Source organism: Homo sapiens, chromosome 10 (assembly GCF_000001405.40).
Source record: "Homo sapiens chromosome 10, GRCh38.p14 Primary Assembly".
Lineage (NCBI taxonomy): Eukaryota > Metazoa > Chordata > Mammalia > Primates > Hominidae > Homo > Homo sapiens.
Window position 1 is genome coordinate 68191463 of NC_000010.11, and position 12055 is coordinate 68203517.

Genomic DNA, 12055 nt, shown 5'->3' on the forward strand with positions numbered 1-12055 from the left:
TCACCTTGGCCTCCCAAACTGCTGGGAATACAGGCGTGAGCCACCACACCCAGCCTGTTTTTTCTATTTCTGCAAAGGATGTCATTGTTGTTTTGATAGGGATTGCGTTGAATCTGTATATCACGTTGAGCAGTATAGACATTTTAACAATGTTAATTCTTCCAATTCGTGAACGTGGGATATCTTTCCATTTGTGTGTGTGTGCCCTCTTCTATTTCTTTCAGTGTTTTATAGTTTTCCTTGTAGAGATCTTTCACTTCTTTGGTTAAATTTATTCCTAGGCATTTTACTTATTTATTTTTGTAGGTATTGTAAATAGCATTGCTTTCTTGATTTCTTTTTCAGAGTGATTGCTGTTAGTGTATAGATGCTACGGATTTTTGTAAGTTGATTTTGTATCCTGCAACTTTACTAAATTTGTTTACCCTAAGAGGTTTTTGATAGAGCCTACATTTTTCTAAAATATAAGATCATGTCATCTGCAAGCAAGGATAATTTGACTTCTTCCTTTCCAATTTGGGTGCCTTTATTTCTTTTTCTTGCTTAATTACTCTGGCCAGGACTTTTAGGGCTACATCAGATAAAAGTGGTAAAAGTGGGCATCTTTGTCTTGTTCCTGATGTTAGTGTAAAGGCTTTCAATTTTTCCCTGTTCAGTACGATATTAGCTGTGGGTTTGTCATATATGGACTTCATTGTGTTGTGTTCCTTCTACACTCAATTTGTTGAGGGTTTTTTATTATAAAGAGGTGCCGAATTTAATTGAGTGCTTTTTCAGTGTCTATTGAAATGATCATATGGTTTTTGTCTTTGATTCTGTTTATGGGATGTGTCATGTGTATTGACTTGCCTGTGTTGAATCATCCTTGCAGAGCTGAGATGAATCACACTTGATCATGATAAATAATCTTTTCGATGTGTTGTTGAATTTAGTTTGGTAGTATTTTGTTGAGGATTTTTGCACCTATGTTTATCAGGAATATTTACCTGTAGTTCTGTTGTTGTTGTTGCTGTTGTTGTTGGGTCTTTGACTGGTTTGAGTATCAGGATAATGCTGGTCTTGTAGAATGAGTTTGGAAGTATTATCTCCTCTTTAACTTTTTGAAATAGTTTGAGTAGAATTGATATTAGTTCTTCTTTAAATGTTTGGTAGAATTCAACAGTGAATCCATTAGGCCCTGGGCTTTTCTTGGATGGGAGACTTTTTCGTTACTGCTTCAATCTCATCACTCATTATTGGTCTGGTCTGCTAGTTTTCTATTTCTTTGTAGTTTAGTCTTGGTAGGTTGTATGTGTCCAGGAATTTGCCAATTTCTTCCAGGTTTTCCAATTTGCTGGCATATAGTTGTTCATAATAGTCTCTAGTGATCCTTTGTGTTTCTGTGGTTATCAGTTGTATTGTTTCCTTTTTCATCTCTTATTTTATTTGGGTCTTCTCTCTTCTCTCTTTCTTTCTTAGTCTAGCTAAATGTTTGTCAATTTTGTTTATCTTTTTAAAACACCAACTTTTCATCTCTTGTATTTTTGGTCTTTTGCATTTTTTTAGTCTCAATTTCATTGATTTCTGCTCTGTATTTATTATTTCTTTCCATCTACTAATTTTGAATTTGGTTTGTTCTTGCTTTGTTCTTTGAGATGCCTCTTTAGCTAATTTATTTGGAGTCTTTCTGGGTTTTTTTTTATGTAGGTATTTATTGCTATAAACTTCCCTCTTAGTAAGAAAGTCTTATCAGATTCTAGTGAAGTGTCTACAGAGGGAATGAAAACCCATACCAGAAAATTAGCAAAGCCCAGATAATTTCACTTAAAAAAAAACCCCATCAGGAATGAGATCATTAAATAGTCACGCTAAAAAGAAATCAGACTTATGGGTAAGTTCAAATTTTAATAAAAGTTTAAAATAAATGTCTTAGTCATGATACTATATTTTGGGCTATTGATTTTCATAGCCATCAAACTCACCAAACTGATATTTTTCTGTCTGCTTAATATCTATTTAATATCCACAGGGTACCTGTTCTTGTACAAAGTGAACTGTATTAGGTTGGTAAATGCTGAAAATGTCATATCGTTATCACTGGATGCTGAAAAATCACATCAGTCAGCAGATTTTTTGGCAGTCAGCTGAGAGAAGGATTTACACCCAGCATGTTTGTGGCAGAGGATCTCTCTGCTCTACTTTCATAAACATTAGCATAGTGTTATCATGTATGGTTAGGTAACCAGGAAAAGTAGAGGAGGACAGCTGTAACCAGCACTTTATCTCCTCTGTCTTTGAGAGATCTCCTTCACACATGCAAAACTTAACAGGAAATATATAGATAGATGTGTATGTGCACACACACACACACACACACACACACACACACACACACACATAGATATTTACATTTTGGCTAGATGAGAAATTTAGCAAGTTAATCCTAGCCTCATTCCATTTAGTGTAACAAACCATACTAACCTTTCAAGCAAGGTGACTTGTTCTAAGTGCTGAGATCTGCAACTGCAGGAAACTTGAGCTTGTAAATAAGGTAATGAGAATATCCACTCTCCTGGTTTTCATTATTTTGCTTCTGAAGGCATGTCCAGTCCTTAGGGTGGCTTTTAAAACTATGTGTGAAGTACAAGAAAAATAGTCAAAAGCTTCATCTTAGTCCTAAATTATATTGGATTCTTGACTTAAATAATATAATATTTAATATTAAATAGTATTATACAGGTACGAGTGGAGGGGCATATTATACAGCCATTTTTAATATGTTTTATAACTTTTTTTCAAGTGCTTCATAAAGTATGGTCACTTAAAAGATGGCAGTTGGCCCTTTCCTCACCCCAGACCCTAGTTCATTAACCTCTAAAGATAAACAAAACAGTGTACATCTTGATAATTTTTCATTTCAGGTTTACTGGTTCAAAGATGGGAAGCAGATTTCTAAGAGAAATGAGCACTGCAAAATGAGGCGAGAAGGAGATGGGACATGCTCTCTGCACATTGAATCCACTACCAGTGATGACGATGGCAACTACACCATCATGGCAGCCAACCCCCAGGTGGAGACGCAGGGTTCTGCGCTGTGCTGCACTCTGAGGAAGGAGCGGTTGATGTCATTGTGAATGAGACCTTGAGAAGTGCGAGTTACTAAGGATTGCTGAGGAAAATGAATGAGAAGCATTGTGATTTTGTGTAACTAGGGCACAGCATCACAACTTAAAGGACTAGTTAGCCACTGACAGGTCACTCAATCCTTCAGCCTTTGTCAAGGGACCTTAGTACTATTTTTTCACTATGTATACCTTGCAGACTTCTTGAACTAGATCTTGTGTTTCTCAACACATTGATTCTCTTGAAGAGTCAATAAATCATTATATCAATCATTCTATCAAGAACGATCTGTCATTTTTGTTCTTTAGTGAATAGGCAAATTACTTTGCGAAGGTTTGTGAATATCCCTCAAACTCATAGTGTCCACATTTTGGGATTGTTTTGTTTTTTAAACTTGGAAAGCCATAATCATCCACTTTCCTTTTCTGAATGAAGCCAAATCTTAAAATTCCCCTAAAAGATGTGGCAGAATAAACATCTTCAATTACTATTTGAATAGGAAGTACAGAACTATAACATCCATTCCTACTGAAATGTTAGTTTTGAAGAATCTCTGTTGAGGAATGTATGAAAATATTTGGCCATGCTTTCTAAATTTTGACTGAAAATAAAGTTAAGTACATAAGAATTCAAATTTCTTTTTACCTTTGACTTGTTCATATCTCAGTTTAAAAATGAAAGTCGTTACCATACTCTTAAAAATCTCTCCCCCTGGAATATTAACAATGATTTAAGAAATCATATTTTATTGTTTTTATTTCTCTCCCCCAAAGAAAAACTCATAATAGCCAAAATTTCACGGTGTTCTGGTCCAGAAATTTTTATGTAAATTGAAAAAATGTGAGATTGTTCTTGTTTTAATCTTGCTCTTTTTCTGTTTGTCAGGGGAGAATCAGCTGTTCTGGCCACTTGATGGTACAAAGTTTGCCCATTCGCAGTCGGCTAACCTCTGCTGGTCAGTCTCACAGGTAAAGACAGTAAGAATTCCCCCTCTCTAGGCCCTTCCCAAGCACCTGCCCACTATCGTGAGCACCAAAGTACTGGATCCACAAATTCTTAATTAAAGGTAGTCCTTCACTTGCAGCACTAGCATCACCTGGGCGTTGGTTGGAAATGCAGAATCCCAGGCCCCACTCTGGATCTACTGACTCAGAATCTGCATTTTAACAGAATTCCCAGGTGATCCACAAGCATAGTAAAGTTTAACAAGCACTAGTCTCTGGGGCTTTTTTTTTAAGTTTGATTTTTATTTTTTAGAGACAGGGTCTCACTTTGTTGCCCAGGCTGGAGTGCAGTCGTGTGATCATAGCTCACTGCAACCTCAAATTCATGGGCTCAAGCCATCTTCCCACCTCAGCCTCCCAAGTAGCTGAGACTACAGACGCATGCCACCATGCTGGCTCAATTTTTCTGTGTGTGTGTAGAGACAGGTGTCTCACTATGTTGCCCAGGTTTGTCTCACACTCCTGGCCTCAAGCAATCCTCCTGCCTTGGCCTCCCAAAGTGCTAGGATTACAGGCATGAGCCATCACTCCCAACCTGGCATGCTTTTAATGGTTCAAAATTTGTAACCATCAGTAGCACCTGCACACATAATATGTAAATCAGACCCATTGAAGTAAGTTACCATCTTTTGTTTCATAAAACAGAAACCTTTAATGATTGAATGTATATTGATGGAATGTTTTTGTTGTTGTCTCCAATACAACAACTGGTTTTCTTCCTCTCTGATTTTACTAACCACTAAGAAGAAAGAGCCTGGCTTTCCACCTGAATCTTACGGTGCCACGAAGTCTTAGCAAAGCATTCCATAGCTGCTGACACAGACGAATTAAATGTGACTTACCAAAGGAACAAAAATAGTGACCCATGTTTCAGATACAGTATTTCACCACCGTTGCAACTATACCTTCTTCTTCTTTTTTTTTTTTTTTTTGAGATGGGGGTCTCACTCTGTCACCCAGGCTGGAATGCAGTGGTGCGATCTCAGTTCACTGCAACCTCCACCTTCCGGGCTCAAGTGATCTTCCCACCTCAGCCTTCCAAGTAATTGGGACCACAGGTGTGCACCACCATGCCCAGCTAATTTTTGTATTTTTTTGTAAAGACGGGGTTTCACCATGTTGCCCAGGCTGGTTTCAAACTCCTGAGCTCAAGCAGTCAACCTGCTTCAGCCTCCCAAAGTGCTAGGATTACAGGCTTGAGCCACCACACCTGGCCCCCTCTCCCTTTGCCTCCTCCTCCTCCTTCTCCTCCTCCTCCTTTTTTAAGAACAGCTGTTACCGTTGGTCAGTCTTATCCAGTTTAAGTTCATAGTCATCTTTAATGGTCTGCCATAATTTATAGCCAGGTTAAATTTTATTACTCAAAGACACAGGGATTGCAGCTGCCTTACTCTGGGTAATAAACAGGACTTCTCTTTTGGCTCTCGTTTGAGGTTCAGATTGAATACTGATCTATTTGTTTATTTTGATGGCTTTTGAATAACTGGTCGAACTCATAGCAAGGGGAGCTGAGCCCACTTAATCCAGAATGACAGAAAGAAGCTAAGCCTGTTTATTTGATTGCAGATCTCGCAAGACAATCCCACAGTATATGAGATACTTACCACTTTGTGTTTTACATCAGCTCCACACCATTATTTATTGTTTATAGTCCAGCCTCCCCTTTCCCCCTTCAAAAAAAAAAAATCTGTTCTCTAGGTCTGTAGCCATGCCTAAATGCCTATTATCATAAGTTTGTAAATTTATTTCTATGTTTAATATCTGAACATGCTTGTTGTTATAGGGGAAGATCCCGAGTGCAAGAAAGAGACAAAGAGCCCCTACAGGAACGCTTTTTCCGACCACATTTCCTGCAGGCTCCTGGGGATATGGTAGCTCATGAGGGGCGCCTCTGTCGGCTGGACTGTAAGGTAGACTCCAGCACCCATGCTTAGTTCCAGATCTGTTCATATTTTGTATTTGTTTGCATTCATTTTTATTTGTATTTGTTTTGTGGGTTTTTTTTTTCAGGAAAGATGAGATGGGGAAGGGAGACAGATCACTTTTTTTCATCATAAGGCTTGTTTGGAGTATTTAATGTCAGATGAAATTATTTTATGAAATTTTTGAATCTCTATATATTAATAAAAATTACATTGGTATTATATCAAGTTAATTGCATTTTTAGAAGACAACCAAAGAGGTGATACACAGTAGTTCCCCCTTATCTGAGGGGCCCGCGTTCCAAGCCCCACAGTGAATGCCTGAAACTTTAGGTAGTACTGAGCCCTATATATACTATTTTTTAAAGTTGATAACCAAGACAGCTACTAAGTATCTAATGGGCAGGTAGCATAGACAGTGTGAACGCGGTGGGCAAATGGGTGATTCATACCCATGGGTAGGATGGAGTAAGACGGCATGAGATTTCATCATGTACTCGGAACGAAACACAATTGAAAACTTAGAAACTTTATTTCTGAAATTTTTCATTTAATATTGTCAGATTGTGGTTGACCTCGGGTAACTGAAACTTTAGACAAAAGGAGGACTACTATAATTCAGACATTTGCATCTAAGCCTTTTAAGAATTCTAGAATGCTATGGAAGATTTAGATACAAGCCTTTTCATATGGTGTCTGGAAGGCCTTTATTACTATAAAGCCATATGGTGTGATTTTCACATCCTTGAAGTGAATTGTTGAATGTGTGGCCTTTGAAAATTTATAGACATGAAAATATGGCTCCAAGGTAGTGTATGAGAACAGAAGCTGGTTTCTCATACTAATCAACCTCCATTACCTTTAGCTATTCTGCATTCTCATTTTTTGACCGGGCTCTAGTTGAGCAGCTTGGATATCTCTCAGAATGAAGAGAAGCTTATGTCACCCTTTCTGCCCATAGATGCAGAATGCTATGGAAGACTTAGATGCAAATTAGTCAAAACTTGAGATTAAGCATTCATAAAGGGTCCACTTCTATCTGTGGTTCTTCTTCTCTCTGTGGCTGCCTAAATAATATTCGGATTGATTGCTACATCCCCCTCCCTAAACTCTGAAAGATTCCCATGCCTGGGTCCCATCCGCAGAGATTCTCACTTATGGTAAATGGGCACCAGGATTTTTAAACACCTCCCACATGATTGTAATACACAGCAAGATTCAAGAGCTCTGGTTTAATATCTGGCCTTTCATCATCCTCAGCAAACTAACACAGGAACAGAAAACCAAACACCACATGTTCTCACTCACAAGTGGGAGTTGAACACTGAGAACACATGGACACAGAGAGGGGAGCATACCATGCCCTGTTGGGGGGATGGGAGGGGTGAGGGGAGGGAACTTAGAGGACAGGTCAATAGGTGCAGCAAACCACCGTGGTACACATATACCTATGTAACAAACCTGCGTGTTCTGCACATGTATCCTGTGTTTTTCTTGTTTTCGTTTTTTTTTTAGAAAAAAAATCTGGCTTTTCTCTTGGCTATTAGGTATGTAAGCAGTATATCATCTCTGAAATTGATGCTGCAGGCCTATTATATCTATCTATTTCACTTTTTAATTCTTATTTATTCTAATCTAGAGTATAATCAAATAGGTTAACCATTACCTTAACTGTGACCAAAGTACCATACAGTTCAAATTCATGCAGCTGTTTATTCAGACTCTTCGTTTCTCTCGATGCCCCTACAGAGAGGTTTCTCATCACTCCATGTTTTCTCTCACTGTCTGTTTGGTGCCAAGCAAGGATAAAGAATTCAGCCATCAAATAAATGTGCCTGTCATCAGTCATGTGCCTCAGCTGTTCTGTTGTTTATTAGGTGAGTGGTTTACCGCCCCCGGAGCTGACATGGCTACTCAATGGCCAACCTGTGCTACCAGATGCCTCCCACAAGATGCTGGTCAGGGAGACCGGAGTCCACTCTCTGCTCATTGACCCACTCACTCAGCGCGACGCAGGGACCTATAAGTGCATCGCTACCAACAAAACCGGGCAGAATTCTTTTAGTCTGGAGCTCTCTGTAGTAGGTAAGGTTTGCTGCTGGGACCCCTAAACACAACTTCCTCCAAAGTCATTACCCAAAGAGGCAGAGCCTCTGCCAGAATTCCTTCATCCTTTGCCCTACTAACTCCAATCTCAATTTCCCCTTCACTGTGGTAGGGGTGGTATTTCCCACATCACTTTCAAAAACATGCCAGTAATCTAAAATCATAATATGACACCATGTGCATAATACCCATTAAATAAATGAGAGCCATTGTCATCATCAGTCAATCAATCAATCAATTAGCTGTCACTAAATTCCAGTTATTTGCCCTACAGTCCATCATTCCTGGAACATACTAGGCTCTTTGTCCTCTGTCTAAGCTTTCATGCCTTTGCACCAATGATCCCTCTACCTGAATGTCCTTTTCTACCTGAATGTCCTTTTCTGCCTGGCACCTCCTACTCATTCTGTAAGACCTAACTGAAATGTCACCACCAGGTACAGTGGATCCACCAGGCACAAATACCCCTTCCCAGCCTAACAACCGTAAAGTGTTTCCATAGCACTCAGAAAAGGAGAGATTCATAGAGCAGGTAGGGCCTTCTGTGTAAATGTTAATTATTTGCCTCCCTGAAGAGATGCTGAGCTCCTAAGGTCAGAGACTGTGGCTCGTCTTGCACATCTCCAGTGCCTCTGTCTCTCTTCTGCATATCTCAGTGCCTGGAACATGGAAGGTGCCCAAGAAATATTGAATCAATATCTAAACAAGTGAAACTTTATATTCTTAGATGATGTGAATGAAACACTGTAATGCCTATACATAAGGACAACAAGACATTGTCATCTGGGAGGTGCCAGCCCTGAAGTAAATTTCAGAATGCAGGAATTCTGGTGCTGGGCTTCCTTCTGCTCTCAGTGTGGCCCTTTAAGAAAATCAGGGTGTGGGGCACGGTGGCTCACACCTGTAATCCCAACATTTTGGGAGGCTGAGGCGGGTGGATCACCTGAGGTTAGGAGTTCAAGACCAGCCTGGCCAACATGGCAAAACCCCATCTCTACTACAAATACAAAAATTAGCCAGGTGTGGTGGCGCACACCTGTAATCCCAGCTACTAGGGAGGCTGAGGCAGGAGAATCGCTTGAACCCGGGAGGTGGAGGTTGCAGTCAGCCAAGATTGCACCACTGCACTCCAGCCTGGGTGACAGAGCAAGACTCCATCTCAAAAAAAAAAAGAAGAAGAAATTCAGGGTGGCTTCAGCATGCTAATCCTCTCTCTAGGCTAGTGGCGGTTTCCCCTGTATATCTTTTTCCTTCCCTCACTTTTAATTTCTTCTCACCAATAAAACAGGAAAAACTCATTCTGCAAGAATACATTGATTTCAGGCTTTTACCTTTATTCCACTATTTTGCTAAAAAATATTGACTTTGGAACCCTAAGACATGAGGTACCTTTACCTAAATTTGTCCTGGCCAAATCTCTAAAAGCCTCCTTGGGAAGCACAGTCTTGTGTGTGTGTGTTTTAGATAGTGTTATTCTGTAGGTGTCAGATTTTTGTGGAAAAACTATTATGTCTTCTACAAAATAAAACTCCACCCCCAAAAATCTGTTTTAGTAAATAAAATATATGGTTCTCAAAATCTACTGTTGAGATATAAAAGAAATTCCTTTAATTCCACCATTCCTGGCATTTGCATCCCATGCGAACGACCCAGATCCTCAAGTATTGCCTCTCGTGGGATGTGCAGAGATGGTTGCCCCATTTCTTTTTGTTTTTTAAACCATTTATGAAGCTTTTATCAAGGCAGTGATCCTCACTAAAAGACATGAGGAGTGTTCTGACCAGGAGGTAAGGTGGGTGCATGCCCACTCTGCTGAATTCCAGAACTGTGGTGACTGTGAGGCATGAACCTCAAAGTACTTACTATTCAAATAAGAATGACCCTTCTCCACCAGGCACAGTGGCTTATGCCTGTAACCCCAGCACTTTGGGAGGCCAAGGCGGGTGGGTCACCTGAGGCCAGGAGTTCGAGATCAGCCTGGCCAACATGACGAAACCCCTATCTCTCCTAAAAATACAAAAATTAGCCAGGCTTGGCGGTGCACGCCTGTAATCCCAGCTACTCGGGAGACTGAGGCAGGAGAATCACCTGAACCTGGCAGGGGAGGGGTGCAGGCAGAGGTTGCAGTGAGCTGAGATCTTGCCACCACACTCCAGCCTGGGTGACAGAGCAAGACTCTGTCTCAAAAAAAAAAAAAAGAAAGAAAAAAAGAATGACCCTTCTCTTGCTCAGCCAAAGAGGTGAAGAAAGCACCTGTGATCCTGGAGAAACTACAGAACTGCGGTGTTCCCGAAGGCCACCCCGTGAGACTGGAGTGCCGCGTGATAGGCATGCCCCCACCTGTGTTCTACTGGAAGAAAGACAATGAGACCATCCCTTGCACCAGAGAGAGGATCAGGTACAGCAGCCACCACATCCAGAGGGACTCCCACTCTCAGTGGGGCTTGTTGCGCCACCCAAATAAGTCTGCTGCTATTTGAGTCTGGCTTACTTCATTTAGAATAATGCATTTGCGTTTCATTGATATTATTGTGTGTATTAAGAATGTATTCCTGGCCAGGCGCAGTGGCTCATGCCTGTAATCCCAGCACTTTGGGAGGCCAAGGCGGGTGGATCACGAGGTCAGGAGATCGAGGCCATCCTGGCTAACATAGTGAAACCCTATCTTTACTAAAAAATACAAAAAATTAGCCAGGCGTGGTAGCAGGTGCCTGTAGTCCCAGCTACTCGGGAGGCTGAGGCAGGAGAATGGCGTGAACCTGGGAGGCGGAACTTGCAGTGAGCTGAGATTGCGCCACGGGACTCCAGCCTGGGTGACAGAGTGAGACTCCGTCTCAAAAAAAAGAAAAAAAAAAGTACAAGGAATTTATGGAAGATTTTGCAAATTTTTTGTCCCATGTCTTCAATTATATCAGGACCCAGAAAAGCTCTTTGAAGTAAAAAAGCTAACACAAAATGAAACATCAAGGCAGTTATACTCCTTTTCCATCCATCACTAAATGATTGTTTTTAAAGTAAGCTTAAGGATCCAGTTTCTTAAACTGGGTACGTTGCTTAATCTTCCCTAACCAACTTAGGGAAATGGCAATTTCTTTGCCATTTTGGTTTTATACCACAAGGGGACAAGTAAGTAAAGGTAGCTTCTGTACAAAACTTTCTACTGAGAATTATTTCACCACAGTAAACGGAAATTGCCCCAGAGAATGCTGTAGCTGTTGGGTTTTAAAGAATTTTGACATCTAAAATATGTGTGTGTATTGTGTGTGTTGGGATTGTGGGGGTGTGGGGGTGTGCATTTTTCTACAGTAAAACTTAAGCAAGAACAGAGAATAGTCTTGGGTTAATGCTCCAATCTAACAATGCAATATGTTAAACTAGATTAAACTATATACTCTAAATAAACTGAGGGTCTACAATTTTAAATATGGTTTTATTGGGCAAAAACAAAATCAATGTCTGGAAAGTTCATTCCCAGTCGAGGCTGACTGCTGGGACCGGGTGATTGCTCAGTCCTGGACTCTGAGGACCAGCTCGGTTTAGTCACCACTTCCTGGGGAAGGCAGTGGCAGGGGAGGGAGGAGGAGTGACTGAGATGCTGCCGTGGGGAAAGCCTAAGACTCAGAGACCGCTGCCCACTCACTGCCCATTCATCTTCCCCCTGCCTTTAGTGACAAGATGCCTGTCATTTTAATGTAAGCATAGGACATTCTGGCTGGGCACAGTGGCTCATGCCTGTAATCCCAACATTTTGGGAGGCCAAGGCAGGAGGATTGCTTGAGACCAGGAGTTGAAGACTAGCCTGGGCAACATAGCAAGACCCCATCTCTAAAAAAAAAAAATTAATTGTCTAGGCATGGTGGCACACACCTGTAGTCCCAGCTACTCAGGAGGCTGAGGAGGGAGGATTGCTTGAACTCAGGA

The 12055-nt window shown here is 40.8% G+C and overlaps 1 protein-coding gene across 12 annotated transcripts in view, besides 3 other annotated features; it reads left to right on the forward strand.

Moving 5' to 3' along the window:
- The window catches only part of MYPN (myopalladin), a 124121-nt gene that overhangs the window by 103566 nt on the left and 8500 nt on the right, over positions 1-12055 (forward strand). For all 12 annotated transcript variants that reach the window (NR_045662.4, NR_045663.4, XM_047425879.1 and 9 more), the window contains 5 exons: positions 2901-3050; positions 3988-4070; positions 5890-6016; positions 7906-8113; positions 10367-10532. Coding sequence is in view for 10 of the 12 variants with exons in the window: in XM_047425879.1 (XP_047281835.1) it covers positions 2901-3050; positions 3988-4070; positions 5890-6016; positions 7906-8113; positions 10367-10532 (734 nt within the window). In the remaining 2 variants the exon portion in view is untranslated. The remainder of the gene's footprint in view (positions 1-2900; positions 3051-3987; positions 4071-5889; positions 6017-7905; positions 8114-10366; positions 10533-12055) is intronic.
- Positions 2997-3166: an enhancer, noted in NCBI's record as "experimental_16132 CRE fragment used in MPRA reporter constructs". NCBI's record gives its function as "activates a minimal promoter by MPRAs in K562 erythroleukemia cells, with activity observed for both the introgressed and non-introgressed 10:69954301 variant alleles {active_cell/tissue: K562}" and the evidence as "EXISTENCE:reporter gene assay evidence [ECO:0000049][PMID:34662402]".
- Positions 9003-9172: an enhancer, noted in NCBI's record as "experimental_16136 CRE fragment used in MPRA reporter constructs". NCBI's record gives its function as "activates a minimal promoter by MPRAs in K562 erythroleukemia cells, with activity observed for the non-introgressed 10:69960307 variant allele {active_cell/tissue: K562}" and the evidence as "EXISTENCE:reporter gene assay evidence [ECO:0000049][PMID:34662402]".
- Positions 11546-11715: an enhancer, noted in NCBI's record as "experimental_16144 CRE fragment used in MPRA reporter constructs". NCBI's record gives its function as "activates a minimal promoter by MPRAs in K562 erythroleukemia cells, with activity observed for both the introgressed and non-introgressed 10:69962850 variant alleles {active_cell/tissue: K562}" and the evidence as "EXISTENCE:reporter gene assay evidence [ECO:0000049][PMID:34662402]".